The 17,106-nt window shown below is 39.6% G+C and overlaps 1 protein-coding gene across 1 annotated transcript in view; it reads right to left on the reverse strand.

Annotated features, from left to right (window-relative positions):
- Positions 1-656: 656 nt before the first annotated feature.
- Positions 657-17,106, reverse strand: part of LPAR3 (lysophosphatidic acid receptor 3) — an 81,605-nt gene continuing 65,155 nt past the window's right edge. The window contains exon 3 of the mRNA NM_012152.3: positions 657-3,226. Within this exon, the coding sequence (NP_036284.1) occupies positions 2,901-3,226 (326 nt within the window). The 3' untranslated portion in view covers positions 657-2,900. The remainder of the gene's footprint in view (positions 3,227-17,106) is intronic.

Genomic DNA, 17,106 nt, shown 5'->3' on the forward strand with positions numbered 1-17,106 from the left:
CAGTACAGATTTATCAGAACATCTTGGACAGTGCTACAAATCTAAGAAGAAAATTAAATATCATTTAGCTAGGGAGTAGCCTCTGCTTTGAGTCAAGGGCTGGTCTGATGAGGTCTAGATGAAATTTTCAGGACCACCATATTGATAACTTGCAGATAAGCTTTGGATCCTAGAATCTGAGGACACACAAACACACAGAAAGGGCCAGGTCTGTCAAGGGTCCTTGGTGAGCTCTGTGACCCCTGCCACTCGTCATTTCTAAATATTCCCGACTTCCTTACTCTTGTGCCCTTGCTGAGATGTGTGTGTGCATACAAACAAAAGCTATATATTTCTACCCTGAGTTTCCACACTTTGGACCCCCTCCAGACACCATTCTGAATATGACACTCTGCTGCAGGGTACTAAAAATTGTTCTTTCCTCAAAATAAAACCTTTAAAGATCCCTTAGTAGCTATTTGGGGACTGGAATTCAATTTCAGTTCTCCACCCTTTGGCCAGCTATAGATTCAAAATGCTTACATAAAACATTGAGAGTATGTACTTCATGGCAAATTTGATTTTTCTTCTGCAATAGAAATTTATGCTGTAGTTACCACAAACTATATTTTTACTTAGAAAATACACAAAGCAATAATGCACCTCAACAAGAGAGAACAGATCTTTTAAAATTTTATTTTATAGGTAGCTTCGATAAAAGCTTCAGATAGACCCACATACTATACAGAGTTTGTGAAATCTACACTTTCAAATCATAATATTCTCTATTTTAGGCTATTATATTTAGAAGCATGACATCTCAAATCCTTTTATTACAAGTAGTTCTTGCACATAAATGTTATATCACAATAGCAAAAAAATGTAAACTTCTTTTGCAAACTACATAAATACTATAATATCTACCTTGAAGTTATTCTCATTTTAAATCAGAATACACTCTAAATGTTTTACATAGAAAACTCTCGTTGGTAGCCTGTGTGTATGAAACATCATTTTTTCTTTCTTAACTACTTGTCTTTCATGTTGCCTACTTAGGTCTCTGAAGGAGAAAAATTCAAAATAGAACCCAGATCAAAATTCAGTTCACATGTAAGCCAGGTACCAGAAGGATGCCATTAACCTTGGGAAAAATAAGAGATGGGAAATTATTCTACATGCTAAATCCAACATGCCACCAGTTGGTATGGAGGTAACTGAAGATAAGGACTGGGGTCAAGCTCATATTTCATTCTATATGGAAGGGATTCAGCCTGCTCTTCAATACAGCTTTTACTCTGATGTATAAAAACATCTGTTCTCAAATGAACACCTCTTTCTCTTTTCTTGTACAGCACAACAGATCATTGCTACAGCTCTAGTCCTAGACTGGAAAGTCTAGGTGGCCCGTGAATTGATTTCACCTTCGCTGTCCTTCGAGTTTTTAAATGCAAAGTGAAGTTGTTTAAATATACACATGTGTTCCCTGACATTCTCTAGTCTTTTTTTTTTTTTTTTTTTTTTTTTGAGACAGAGTCTTGCTCTGTCACCCAGACTAGAGTGCAGTGCTGCGATCTTGGCTCACTCTGCAACCTCCACCTCCCGGGTTCAAGTGATTCTTATGCCTCAGCTTCCCAAGTACCTGGTATTACAGGCATGTGCCACCATGCCTGGCTAGTTTTTGTATTTTTAGTAAAGATGCAATTTCACCACATTGCCCAGGCTGGTCTCATACTCCTGGCCTCAAGTGATCCACCTGCCTCAGCCTCCCAAAGTGCTGGGATTACAGGCATGAGCCAGCGTGCCTGACCTCTCTCCTTGATTCTTAACATTGTTCTTTGGTCCTCTTATTCCTCTGTCCTTTTGCTGGGTTTTCTCTACCTGCTCCTTAAACGTTGGTGTTCTCTTGGCTTCTTTTGCTCTTACTAGGCAAGATTATCAGCTGGATGTTCCATAGGCACTTCAAACTTCACATTCTCTTCTCCTTGTTTTCTGCATAAACCCTTTACTAGCTCTCCACTGTTTTTCACCATCATGAGGGAAAATGAGAACTAATGTGGACTGGCGGGAGGCAGTCTGGGGCGGTAACCCCGTATCTGAAATACTCCAGGGATCCATGTTTCTTTCAATAGTCAGATTAAGCATTCCCCAATCCAATCCCCAGATATCTTTGAACAAAATCAATAAAAATCAGTAAAAACAGGAATATATATATATATATATATATATATATATATAGACACACACACACACACACACACACATGCATATACACACACATGCATGGAGGACCATACTAAGGCCTTTTTCAGGTCAAAAAGGGTTTTCACATTGACCTTTTTTACTTTTAAGTATTTTTCCTCAGAATGTTCCTTCAGTTAAAAATCAGGTTTAATCTGGAGCTCTTACTGATTTTTCTTTGATTCCTACTGAACACCTAGCTACTGGCCATGGTTTCTTTGAGGAAAAAAACACCATTGCTGAAGCATTTCTAAACATTTTTAATGCATGCAGAAAGAACTACATAGACTCTCCAAGCAGCTATATAAGGTGGCTCAAGTAACATTATGATTTATTTTGGTCTAAGCCCTTTCATAACGTCCTTTTAAAATACAAAGAGAATGGCTACGAAATGGTGCCAGAACCCAGAAGGCCCAGCTGGACTGACAGGAGCTCTGAGCAGTTCATAGGACAAGCAGGGACCCGCCGAACCTCTCCCGTTTCTGTGCTTTCTCTAAATGCAGCAGGTCCTCTCTTTACTGCCCATGCTTTTAAACTATGAAAAAAAATTTTTTAAAGAAATCTAGCAGTGATTAATGGAGACCTCAAATAACACTGTACATGGGCTTTGTTAGAGACAGGTAATCATTCTTAACAGCTCTTTTCCCAGAGGAGGCCTGGGTGGGCCGAGAGGCATCCAGAGTTTAGGAAGTGCTTTTATTGCAGACTGCACCTTGGCTAATACTATCCTCTATGTACTGGCTGCCTGTGTCACTCCTGCTGAGGACTGTGGAGGGGATGCGAGAGGGACGCCTCTCTGGGTTCTCCTGAGAGAAGCAGCAGATCATCTTCTTCATGGTGCCATACATGTCCTCGTCCTTGTAGGAGTAGATGATGGGGTTCACGACGGAGTTGAGCAGCGCCAGCAGCAGGAACCACCTTTTCACATGCTGCACGCCACACTGCCTGCAGTTCAGGCCGTCGAGGAGCAGAACCACCAGGCCCGGGGTCCAGCATACCACAAACGCCCCTGCAAGGAGAGAAGAGGAGGCAACAGATGCTCAGACCTTAGGGGACTTATTCAGGTTTTCTTCTCTCCCAGCCTTTAGCCAGTGGCATCAAGGGGCCCTCATGATTTGTTTTGACAACTGCAAGGCAAACTTCCACCTACCATCTGAGCATTTGAGACCTACGCTTGGTACAGGCAAATAGGTGGGAACCTCCTTGACTATCAATCACATTTCATTTCACTTTCTTTTCTGCTTACCCAGGTCTTGTGATTATGAGAGACTCACATTTACATTCTGCTTAGGAGGCAGTGCACATGCATGATCTCCGTTAGTTCTCTGAACCACACTGGGAGGCTTTGTTGCACTCATTATCCACATTGGACAGATAAGAAAACCAAGGCCCAATTCTAGGGGGAGATGAGAGGAGAACTCTCTGACTCCAGGGCTCCCATACTTCACCCTACATTCTGCTGTTACAGAAATCAGATTTTCTAAATGTGCTCTTGAAAATAAGACACAATGAGTCTACGGCATTCTTCTAGTAGTTTAACCAAATCACCTGCTCATAAATTTCATTCTTCATAAATTCATGTGGATGCTTAGTAAGCACTATATTCTTTTTGACATATTCACGGGCCATCTGCATAATCATCTGCTCTACATTTAGATTTTTTGGTCAGAAATAAATCTTTCATGATGAGATAGTTAAAAATCTACTTTTCAGACTCTGCAATTGAATATGAACCGTAGTCTCTTCTGAGTCTCTAGCCACAGCATCATACTTACCTTATCTCTAAATTTCATGATATTTTTCTCCCATTAAGACATGGGTCCACTATTTCCCTACTATTATCATAACCTCAGATAGCAATAACGACTCATCTTTATACAGCACTTACTATAAGCGAGGCACTGGTGCAAACGCTTTCCTTGATTAACTCACAGGACCACACTATGACATTGGCATTATTATTATCCCCAGGAAACCGAGGCACAAGAGAAGTTAAGTAACTTGCCTATGATCAAATAACTCTTAAGAGACACGATTTTGAACAGAGGCCGTCTTTCTCCACAGGCTGTGCCCTGGGCCACTATATGACCCGCCTCTGTAGTATGATGTGGTTGCTTTCGGCGAATGTCCTTGTCATTTCTAAATGCACTTGCTTGTCCACTCATAAATATTCATCTGAAGCTAACAATGTGCCAGGAGCTGTACTAGACAGTGAGTGAGGTGAAGGCCACGCACTCAGGGAGCTAAAATACTAACAGAGAAGACGACAAACAAGCAAGTCTATAGATGATATCACCAACTACTCTACTTGTTAGAATTAGTTCTGCATAGTATTTCTCTTGTTGCTTTATCTTACTTCTAAGAGATATAATACCAAGCAGGGAAAGACAAGGATTATAAAGAGGCAGTGTAAGGCAGGGAAGAGCCACGAACTTTGGGGTCAGACATGTATGCACAGCTCAACCTATGAGTGACCCGAATTATGGGAATTACTTCACTTTTCTCAGCCTCCATTCCCTCCTTTATACAATAAAGTTAATAAACCCAACTATGTGAGGTGGTAGTTGTGAGGATCAGAGGTCATGGAAAGTGGTACCCAACACTGTGGTGGGTTCACTGAGCAGCAGTTATCATGAGGTGCTCTGTTTCCACAAAAAATATCTATATGTTTAGTAGCTAGCAGGGGGGTTGAATTCCTTATTTCATAATTACGGTTCAGCAGTGGTTCCCTTTTTTCTCCACCTTGTATTATTATTTTCGGTCTGGCTGATATATGTGAATAAAGAACTGGACTTGGAGATAAGAGATCAGAGATTTGGGTTCTAATTCTTCACTTACTGTACAACTCTGGGAGACCCATGTCATTGCGCTGGGCTCAGCTTCCTCAGCTGTAAACTGAGGACTGACTTTAGGCTAGGTCTGAGTTTTTCTAGTGGTGGGTCAGAACTTGTTAGTGGGTGTGCAATCAATGTGACAGATTCAGACTGGTTTTTTGTTTTATTCAGACTGGTTTGAAACAAGTGAAGGAACTGGATGGGCAGCCAAGTTTGCAACTACCAACTTGAGAATTCATATTAGTAAGTTTTTAGCCATACCACCCGATAATTGTGTCTGAGAAACAAACAAGTCAAATTTGTTTGAGTTTTATGGAGAGTTAAAAGCCACAGTTTCACAGAATTCGGCAGTTTCCTACTTGGAAAAGAGTTCAGAAGCCGCTTAGCCTGATCTTTCATTCATAGGAAAAAGGCCTTCCCTTTGTACATCTCAGAACAATCCAGGCAAAGGAAATGCCCTGGTCAAGGGAGGCTCTTCAACTGCTGAACAATGGTTTCTTCTCTTAAATAACTTCATTTAGGCTGGGCGTGGTGGCTCACATCTATAATTCCAGCACTTTGGGAGGCTGAGGTGGGTGGATCACCCAGGTCAGGAGTTCGAGACCAGCCTGGCCAACATGGTGAAACCCTGTCTCTACTAAAATGCAAAAAATTAGCTGGGCATGGTGGCAGGCACCTGTAGTCCCAGCTGCTTGGAAGACTGAGGCAGGAGGATTGTTTGAACCCAGGAGGCGAAGTTGCAGTGAACCGAGATTGTGCCACTGCACTCCAGCCTGGGCAATAGAGCAAGACTCCATCTCCAAAAAAGTAAAAAGCAAAAAAATATATAAATATCTTCATTTACTTGAAAAGAAGGCTTGCATCCAAACTCTGCCTGTTGTACTCTTCCATTTGTTTTGTGTGATCCTCTGCAATAGCCCAGGAAAAGTCTGTGCTTTCTCTATGTGATGCCCTTCAGGTTTTTGAAGACAGTTAACGCTTTCTGTCTTTCTTTAGCCTTTTCTCCAGGAGACACATATTGAATTTTATCTACTAGTTCCCAGATGCGTACCTCTGGACACTCATTCATATTTGTTAATGCTGAGAATTTTTTTTTTAAAGTAATCTGGGCATCACACAAACTCTTCTTTGAACCCTGCTGGTTCCCAGCAGTCATAGTCTGAGCATTGAGGCTAAATACTCAAAAGACATTCCTTTTAGTTTTTTTCTTCTGGATTTATGTAGATTGGTAGGCAACTAAGTGATAAATATTTTCCAGGATCTATCACACACACACACACACACACACACACACACCCCTCACTTTTAAGAATTAGTCCAGTTACCTGTTTGAATGTTCCTGACATCTCCACATTCTCTATGAATTCTCCAAGACTACAGAGCCTAGGGTGTGGAGGTGCGTGGGGAGGACTTATGTTTAACTGCTAACATAGAGCAAACCCCCTCAAAGTATGAACTGTTAGATAAACTGTGCATCTCTTCTGAGATGTGTTTGGAGAGAGATCTTGGCCTCCAGGTGGAGGAGGCTTGGAACAGCTGTTTCCCAGGGTCACTGCCGGGGAGCATCTGCTTAAGGCAACATCTCTGAAGTACCTGTTCTCTAGTTTAGCCACCTAGTATGTTTGTGCTGTTCTGTCGAAGAACATTTGCCTTTTGTTGTTCATTGGAAACAGCATAAAGATGAGATCAGCAGATTTTTATTTCTCTTCTGACACCACGGCCAGCCAATCAGCCAATATTTTTGTTGGATTCCTTTGGATTCCTTCCCTCCTTCCATCTCTCCCTCCCTTTCTTCCTTTCCTGGCCAAAAAAAAAAAAAAATCTTTCCTTTAACAACCAAAGAATGATGTAATTGTGATATATGTAGCTTTATGGTCAGACATGACATACTACGGAGGGGCCCTTGAAGTCCAGAGGTACCCTCCTACTCCTCCTTCACTCTCTTCAGTAGTAAGATGCTTTACGGGCCACAGCTGAGCAGCCTAGCACAAAGTCAGGAACATGGCTCTGGTGCCAGGCTGCCTGGGTTCCAATCCTGGCTCTTCCACTGATCGGCTGTGTGCCTTTGACCACATCACCTAACTTCTCTGTGCTGTAGTTACCTCAGGCTTAAAATGAGGGCAGGATTAGTACCATTCCCAAGGGTTTTTATAAAAATTAAATGGATTAATTCATATACAATGATTAAAACAGCATCTGACACAAGATCATTGCTCAATAAAAAGCTTATAAGGTTTTAATTGAATGAATTATTTTATGTAATTCAACGAAAAGGGAAACTATATAGGAATTATCGTATTATGACAAAAAGCATCAATGTGAAGACTTGTTTGGAGTGTTGGGTCACAAGATTAATTCAAAACAGAGTTTTGTGCTGGGGAGAAAACTTTCATGACAAAAAAATCACGTCATTAAAGAACAAAAAATCACATTAAAAATTCACATCTAATAATATGAGAGTGGGGCTTTAGGAAAACATTGGCAATTTATTTTTATCCTTTTTTGAGTGTGTGTGCGATGCACGCATGCCAGGGGGGTGTATTATATTATTCAAACAAAACTACAAAAAATATAGTGAACTTTAAAAAATAATGCTTAAAAGAATAAAAAAAATAAGAATACCTGTCTACTTACCACCCAACTTAAAGAACTTAAAGAAACTTCAAAGAACACTATCGTATCTTTAGAGCTTCCTGGGTGCCCACCCCAGGAGCCCTCTCTCCTGTTGAGATAAACGTATCATACATTTTGGGCTAATCATCTTCTTGCTTTTTCTCATGGTTTTCCAATATACGGATGTAATGTTAGACATCATATTGTTTAGATTGATCTGTTTTTTAACTGTACCGTGATTTGCACTGATTTTAGTTATCAATATATTGGAATTCACTTCTAGCATCTTATTTTGTTCTTTGTTTCATTTTTTTCTATGTTTCGCTTTTTTCCCCCTCTCTTTTTTCGTATTGAGATCTTTTATTTTTTCATTTCCTTTGGTTTCATTTTCCCCCTTCCACTGGTTTGGAAGTTGTAGACTCTATTAAATCTCGACTTACATGTTTAACAAAGTATAAAGTTGGCCAGTGTTTGTCCTTCCTTCCCGTCAGCATAAGGACCTTGGAACACTCCCACCTGGATTTTTTGGAATTATACAATTTCATATAGAAAGGACTCTTCACATCAAAGTTGGTAGCTATAGCTTTTGATGTCTGGCTTGTTTAGTTTTTCTCTCTTGACAACACAGTAACCCTCTCTTGAGAATAGCAGAGAGAATAAAAATGTTACTGTTATGGGAAATACAGATCACTGGAGCTGGGTGGGGCCTTAAAGATTACCAGTGTTTTTCAAACTTTTGACCAAGCCAAATGAAAATTAAAGGAACTTTTAAAATAATGCATATTCTCTGGTCCCACATCAGACCCAATAGTCAGAATCTCGGGTGGGACACAGAAATCTGCAGGACTAAAAAGTTCCCTGGGTGATCATGATGCACAGCCAGTTTTGTAACCTATTTCTCCATGCTGACCCAAAATGGTTTAATCAAGCTGACTCCATAAGCAAAATTATAGATGCCATATAGACTTAGCAAAAAGCCATGGAAAAGAGAGAGGGAGCACAGTTTTTTCAAATGAGAAAATAAGCATCTCTAGAGATGAATATCTTCAATTTGCATTTGGGAAAATGTTTGAGCACATACGCAAAAATAAATATACAAAGAGTGGCAGCAAAAGTAGTCTACAGGCAAGGCATCCACAGTCCTCCTCTGCTGCTCTTTGGCTCGCCGTGCCAGGAATGCCTTCTCACCTCCTAATCTGAGGTCTGCTTTTCTTTCTAAGCTTAGTGCATACTCTGCCTTCTCCACTGGAGCTCTCCCATCTCTTCCACCACAGTGTCCATTTCCTCCTCTCAACTCCTGTAGCACTTTCTACCTATAGCATTCACGTGGCACTGGGCACATTACCTGCTTAATTCCTCTCTAGCATTTCCTGAGAACTCTGGGTCAGGCAGTGTGCTCAGGGCTTTACATGCACTTCCCCTGTAAAACTCACAGCCTTACAAAGTTGCTACTTTTATTATTATCCTAGACTAACATACAATAAATTTGAAGTTTAGAGTAGCTCAACAGTTTGTCCTAGGTGCACAAGCCAAAAAATAGAAGTTATCATTTGAACTCAGGCCTGACTTCCCCATGCAAACTCTTGAGCATTGAGCTATACTAGAGGTAGTTTTTAATACATACGTCTTGTGTCTCAGGTGTGTTCTAAGCTCCCTAAGCAGGTATGCTGTGCCTCATGTGTTTGTATTCTTAGAACTAAGTATCTAGCCCACACTCAGTAGCACAGGAGATGAGCCAGGTGAATGTGACTGAAATTTATTAATCACTTCAGGGATTGACAGGGACAGAACCTGGACCTGACGACTCTAACTCCTGTCAATGAGGGTCTCAGTCGAAGTGACACTCAGTTGAGCTGGTGCTGAAGGGCAAGAATGACTGTGCACAGGTGAGAAATAGCGTGAAGCATCTGGGTAATTCCAAGTGGTTCAGGATGGTTTTAACCCAGGAAGATGATTGAGGAAGTAAGGTAAAGTCTGAGAGGTGAACACAGGGCTAGATTGAGAAGGGCCCTGTGTGCAATAATCAAGAGTTTGGATTTATTACAGATCAGACACTAATAAGCCTTTTTTAACCAGGAGTTCATGCAGAAAATTAAGTCTGAATGCCCTTAGGCACCCATTGTATGTAATGAACTAACTTCTCTTCTAAGCATCTAGAATGGTGTGAGTTATGTACCACCCTTGAAAAGATTAAGAAAATCTTTCTATGTTCCTTGGTTCATAAAGGAACCCCACTGAGAATTGCTAGATCAAAGTTTTTCCAGACACAGTAGCAATTCAGTGGGTTGTGAAATCAATTTAGTGAGTTGCAACCAGCGATTTTTTAAAAAAAATGAAATAGAAACAGAAAACATCAGAGTGCATCAAGTAATAGTAAGGGCATGTTCCATAAAACTTGTTTCAATTACACAGAAAAATAAGTGTGTGAACTGGGCTGTGATACAAAATGTACACTATTTCTTACTGTGGGTACTGCTTTTTTTTTTTTTTTAAAGTTTGAAATCCACTTCAATAGATCAGTGGTTTTCAAACCATTTCTTTTTTTTTTAAGTAGAGGAATACTTTTCCCAAAGGAAATATCTCGTTAAACTTCAAAATCAGAGCTGCTCTGACTAAAGAAAGAGACGGAGGAGAGGGGGTGTTAACTAAAGCCCTATGTAGCAGAATGGGCTCTCATCTTCATACTCCAAACACCCTCTCCCCATACACGTCCACACACTGAGGCCCCTCTGAGGGACTCTTGGCAACTCTACTGACCACTACTTTAAAAATACTGTTATTGAATGGTAGTTCTTCGAAGATTTTTAATCAGGGATGTGAACAAATCTTATATTTTAGAGTAAATTTTTATCTAAGTGCTCAGGACGGACTAGAGGTATTTGTGGAACTAGAAGTCAACTCCAGTCTGCATCAAAATCATCTGGGCTGCCTGCTTAATATTCTGATTTCTTAAAACCTAGTCCTGCCAAATGAGAAAGTGAGGAAGGTGTGATCTAGGCATCTCCATGTTAGCCATCTCCCTAGGGAATGCTTTTGCGTGGTAAAATTTGAGTACTGCTGGCCTGCAAAGGGAGATTCATCTGAAGACTAGCTAAAATCCAGGTGAAACTATCAGGATCTGAAAAAAGCAGTGGTTGTGGAGATGGTCAGAGAAGCTGTAAGGGGGAAGGAAATGTGAGACCTGATGAATATTTGGATCTAGGAAGTGAGGGGAGGAAAGACTCCAGGGTGAGTGGGTAGCATGTGGCTATGATAACTAAGCAGGGAGACAGGAGGGACAGGTTTAAGAGGAGACAGTGTTCAGTTTTAGGCATCAGGCACTTAGAGTGTCTGTGGCTTCTCCAGTTGGAGATGTGTAGAAGGCAGCCAGGAGCATGGGTCAGAACTCTGAGAGCTCCAAATTGAAATGCTGATTTGGGAGTCATCAGCAGTAGGTGGTAACTGAGGCAAATGTCCTTCTATTAATAAATATTTACTAAGCAATTACCTACCATGTGCTAGTGAATGCCTTTATGAGGACTCAGTTTGTATAACAAACCTATTTCCTTCTGTGGCCAAGTGACAGGTCAGTTATATTGATAAGAAGCAATTTTTTTTTATTTTAATGATGTTCTACATTCCTTCAGTACCTGTTTAAGAGACTCACTAATAGTTCAATTAGACTATAAATAAGCTTTCCTCTAGTAATTAAATAAACTAGTTTGAGAGTTGTACTCAAAAATCAATAACGTGAGTTCAATGTTAATTTTTAAAGTTAAGTGAATAGCATGCTAGAATATTCAATTACAGCACTGAGATGATATCTTAATGACTGCAATTTAAGGTAATCAGAAACATCAAATTAAGGAATGTCTAACACTTTGGAAGGTACAATTATATTGGTGACAAGCGAAGTAAAAGATCTTGCAAAGTACCTAGTCAACATTATTGTTTACATACTCGATAACAACCCCCACACCCAAATTTGGAAGTTTACAAAATACCTCAAATAGTACCTTGGTGAATACCTCATCTCCACATTATAGGAAATAAGAAGGGAGAACACCCTCCCATCTGGAGAAGCACCCTTCACTGGAACGTATTTAAGATGGTTCAGCATTCCTGGGGTTTTGGTGATGGATAAGGTCTCAGTTTACACAAGGCCTGTTCAACATTCAAACTTTTCTATTCCTTCTATTTAGACTTGCAGCCATATTTCCATCTGTTTAAAAATTCACACATGCAATTAATCAAAGAACGTTGACATATGAGTGGCACACAAATAAAACATCCATAATGATAAAAACAATCACGTAGAATACTCTCACTTTGCCACATGGACTACTAATTTCATCACAAGGGAGGATATATTTTAAATCTGTTCACTGTCTTAATCTTTGTTTTTAGTCCAGGAAAAAGCAGCAGGGCACAAGCAATAATACTAACCTAGTAAGCCGCAGGGCCATCTGATTTACTAAAATAGAAAATTATAACTCTACATAAAAGTCAGGTTTGTGGACCTCAACCTAGGGAGGCATTCTTCTTATTTGAAAAGGAATTTTTAAAGTAGAATTTCAAAGTAAGCATCTACTTTTGGTTAGAAGCATTATAATGTGTAAGTCACACATTAACAGAATATTTAAGTGAAAATGCTCTTACGACATTAAAGAATTTGTTTAACAATTTAAAAATTAACACTTTCAGATGTGGTATGCAGTCAAATTCATATTCATTTAGCATTTCAGAAGTCCAATAACTCAGAAAATAGATTGTCACCGATGTGAAAGGAATGAAAATATACACCTTTAGTAAATCTGATTTATATTTTTACTGTAGAAAAAAGGACACCAAGATGCTTCAAATAGATGATGAGCAGTTAAACATTCCATAAATGATTCATTTAACACTATCGTTACTAGTGTTGGGTATTTTGACTCTAACAACTGGTTTTAGATACTTGTTTTAAACTTGTGGCCAGCTTTCCAGCTTTGAAAAACTGAAAATCTTGATACCAAGGGCAATAAAAGATAAAATTTAAAGCAGAGGCATACCAGCTAGAACCACTGCCTAGACCTAATTCTAGTGTTTAACTACAGGCAACAGCTGGAAGTTATAAACCATGTAAGAAAACACCATCTCCACCTCCAGATTCCACTTTAAGTGTTATGTGTACTAAACAGCAATGCCTCAATACTTCACTAGCTATTATATCAAGGGCTCTGTGGCAGAGCTACAGAGAAAAGGTGTGAGATCAGCTGTGTGTACTGACAGAGTAGCAGCTATTTGCCTGGTATAATCTTAAAGAATGACAGATCCCAACTAACCTTCCCAAGGATTGGACATTCTTCCTGCTGAAGTCACTCCTTTGGATTCAGAAGTCCTCTGTTGCAACTTACCTAGAAATGCTAACATATTAGGCTGTGGGCATGTAATATTTAATCACATAAACTGTCATGAGCATAGAACAGTGCCCTGGGGGAATGTATAAGAGATGTCTCTAATGGGGTTGAAACATTTTGAAAGGACTACAGCATTGGGCATTGCACAAGAAACTTGACCTACCTAGGACACAACATTCTGGACATAACAGATGGCATAAAATATCATTCTGAGCTCAGAGGAAAGGAGTATGAATGAAGTGGCAGGCACTGGGGTAGCGGTTGAAACCATGCTGCCTTACAGAGAGATGGGCCTGGAAGAACTATAGCATGGTACAGTTCAGGAATGACATGGTCCTGACACAGGATACCACTTTCCATCCTCCACTCATGATTAAGAAACCATGACACTATTTGTTTCTGGGCTCAGATATGACCTAGAATCTCTTGCAGCACAATGCTCCAAGCAGTCTCTGGCAATCAAATAGAATCAGCCTTGAAATGAAACCTACTTATCCCCATTATAGTAAAATGAGCATAGGCTTGAAATCAAGCAGACCCTGAGTTGAAATCCTGGTTATGACTAAGGGCAAATCAGATCACCTTCCTGGGCCTCCATTTCTTAGCTATGGAAGGAGCATGATGATATGACCCAACAGGATTTTTGTGAAAATGGAATGAGATAATATGTGGAAAGTGTCCAACACAGAAAGCACTCAGAGAATATTAGTTGTGACTACCCAGATAGTGTTGGTTACTTCCTCTGCTGTCCTTCTTAGGCAACTTATAAGCAGATCTGGGAGAGTATTTCAGTTGCTGCTGTGTGCCCACACATGTGTGCGCACACAATTTCTCACACTCTGCCCTGTTTCTGTATCCATCTGGCTGTCCTGCTAGACTGACACCCTCAGGGGAGATCTCTTTTGTGCCTTATTCAACTTAGATTACCCAGTGCTTAGCCAAATGCTATACACCTAGTGGTGTTTAATAAATGTTTGCTGAATGAAGGAGCAAGGAGTCTTGATTCAAGTTCAGATCCTGGACTAGAGTGTGAGTTTTAAAAGGCCATTCTATTTCTCTGCTCCCAGTATCTCCATCTATATGTCACTGGGATTGGATGAGAATGCCCTGTAAGGGTCCTGTCTGCTGTTACATTTGATGGTTGTGGGGTTCTCTCATAGCTTCCTTTAGTCACAGCCAACATGCAGTGCTAGGAACTGAGGAGAAAGACAAACATGGATGCTCTGCATTGTGCAATGTGAGAGAATCTCGTGGTAAAATTTAAGACGCATGTCACCTGACTCCAGCAAAAACTGGGATCTTGATGGAGTACAGGAATGCTCTCAGATATTCAATATCTAACATGCAATGGGCATTTGTTAAGTGTCAGGCACTGTGGCTCATCACTGGGAATAGCAAGATAAGGAGACAGAGGAGTAAATGATTCCAGGCAAGATATACCCAAGATGATGTAAGGGCACGCTGCCTAACTGTCTTCACAAGGGCTGAATTTAATGTTCTCTGCAAGGCCACCATGTTCTGTGTTTTTAAATGGACAGGAATGTTAAGAATCTCTCTGGTTGGGCATTATAGGAGGCGATGCAAAGGGGCTCACTGAACATCCGCTCCTTCTCCAGGTCTCCAGTACTGTACTTTATCTCTCTGATCTTCTATTCTAGTCACAAATCCATGATTGCTACACTATGTTTATAAGCTCCCTCTGTTTAAAAATGCACCTCTGTTTAAAAATGTTGCCAGGTTTGATGATGACGCTGAGGTTCCTATCTCAAACAGAGAAAGGCCCAGGAGGCCGGGCCTACTATCCTGCCTTGGTCATCAGTACGGTGCGCAAACCCTGAGGATCTCAATCCCCGCTTACTGTGGGTACTCAGAAAATCTGATAATGAATAAAAGAACAAATGTATAAACAATATTCCAAAGTTACAGAGCAATCACACTAAGTAGTAATAGAACCCTTCAGGCTATTTAAGTGATGTGAAAACCAGTATAAAAACTCCATATGGACATGACTTTCCTGAGTGTAAGGTCTTGCTGGGTGTGCACTAGAGAATATAATGATAACGGTGCTTTGCGGAGTTGTGCAATGTGAAGAAACGTCACTACATCACTACTCTAGAGCTCGAGTTATTTTACATATATTTTTGAATTATGTATAATAGCAACATATAATATATACATATTATATGTATATATATACATATATAGTGCTCAACAGCTATATCTTAAAAAAAGAATAAATCTGATTTTTACAGATAGTCTGAAGAATTTCACTCATTTCATCATGCTAGTATTTGTCATTTTTGATGAAATCATATCAGAAAAATTCAACAAGAACTTTCAGCTTTTAGGTCACAAATACTCTGGGAATACTATAGGTTTTCAAGATTATTTTTCCTTTCTAGCTGACATTTTCTTTGAATGGTTGACAGAACTTATTTTTTTAATCTTAAATTTAGTAAACCATAAAATCTTTAAGTCTTTACATTTAGTAAACTCAGCTATATCTAGGAATTTTATAATGCAGCTAACACCCCTGAAAATCATGATTCATCCAAACAGTGACATACTATACAGCTATTGAAAATAATAATATTGATATGAAAGATGTTTATTATTTATTGTTTTTAACCAAAAAAAAAAACAGGTTACAAAACACTATGCATAGTATGATTCCATTCTGACTACATTAATTCACTAAATAAACTGATTGATAAATTAAGCAGGCATCTGTGCATATGTGTGCTTAAAAAAGATCCTGAAACAAATATCCCAAAATCCTAGCACATATAATCTATAGGCAACATGATTCAAATGATTTTTACCTCTTCCTTACATCTTTTATTGTTCTCTTAATTTTTTGCCATAAGCATGTCTTTCTTTTAAGTAATACATCTTCACTAAAACTACTCCTGTTGCCATTTTGGGAACAAATACCTTTGCATGCACTAGATTTCTACGGCAAGAAACACTATAAGATTGATACAAGTTAAGAAACTCTAAAGTCATGACTGACTTTCCCAATTAATCTTTTAATGGCAGTTTCACTTAATTTTATCTACAGTTTACTAAATAGAAAAATGCACCGCAATGCATTTTGTATGAGGGAGTCATTCAACGGTAAAACCACAACATAATCTTTGAAGTGGAACCAATAAAAATCAATTGTGTACAATGTGTGCCTTGTTATTGCAGTATTAATTTAAAATTTGTTCTATTAGTTGTATATTAAATCACAAAAAGCACAGGGAAACATATTGTACTATACACTGAGCCAAAAGTCACAAATGATCATTTTCCCCTTCTCTCCAAGAGCACAACTCTGGCTGGTCCCCATTGGAAAACAGGGGCTGGGGGAGATGGAAGTCACTACAGATTATGTATTATGGGGGTAGGGGTTGTTAAATTCTTTCATTTATTATCAGAGGATGAAGGTCAATGACTCCATCTTCCAGATAACCAAAGCTTAAAAACCTTTAAAATAGAAGCATACCCTCCCTTCCTTGAGAAGTGGAGCCTACTGCTCACACCTCTGTCTTTTCTTGACCAACTGTCACCACCATGAGCATGTCACCCCCAGAGTGGGCGATATGACTGGAGAGCTGCCCTTCACTTGTGCCCTCATGATGCAGCCATACCCGTGGTCCCTGTGCCCCTAACAGGCACTGCTGACCATTCAGTTTGCTAATTTACAGTTGACTTAGAAAGCAGATGACCGCATCTGGTAAGAACTGCAACTAAATAAAGTCAACAGAGCTCTGAAGAATGACATCATGAATAAAGCACATTGAAAGGCTTAGAGACAACTATTTGTGTTCAGAGGACATTTTCTACCATGGGTGTAGGTGCTAAAAGATTGTTTTATAGATTAAATAAGTCCAGGGACACCAAGAACACACAGTTCATATCCACATGGGCTAATTTTAAGAATTCATTCTTTCTCATGAAAGATGGACAATACTCCACCATTGTGACTACTGAAAATCAAACAAACAAAAAACAGCTAAACCAAAAGAAGAAGAGGGGGTGGAGGGGAGGAGGGAGAAATAATTATTTAGCAAGTATTT

Source organism: Homo sapiens, chromosome 1 (genome assembly GCF_000001405.40).
Source record: "Homo sapiens chromosome 1, GRCh38.p14 Primary Assembly".
Taxonomy (NCBI): domain Eukaryota; kingdom Metazoa; phylum Chordata; class Mammalia; order Primates; family Hominidae; genus Homo; species Homo sapiens.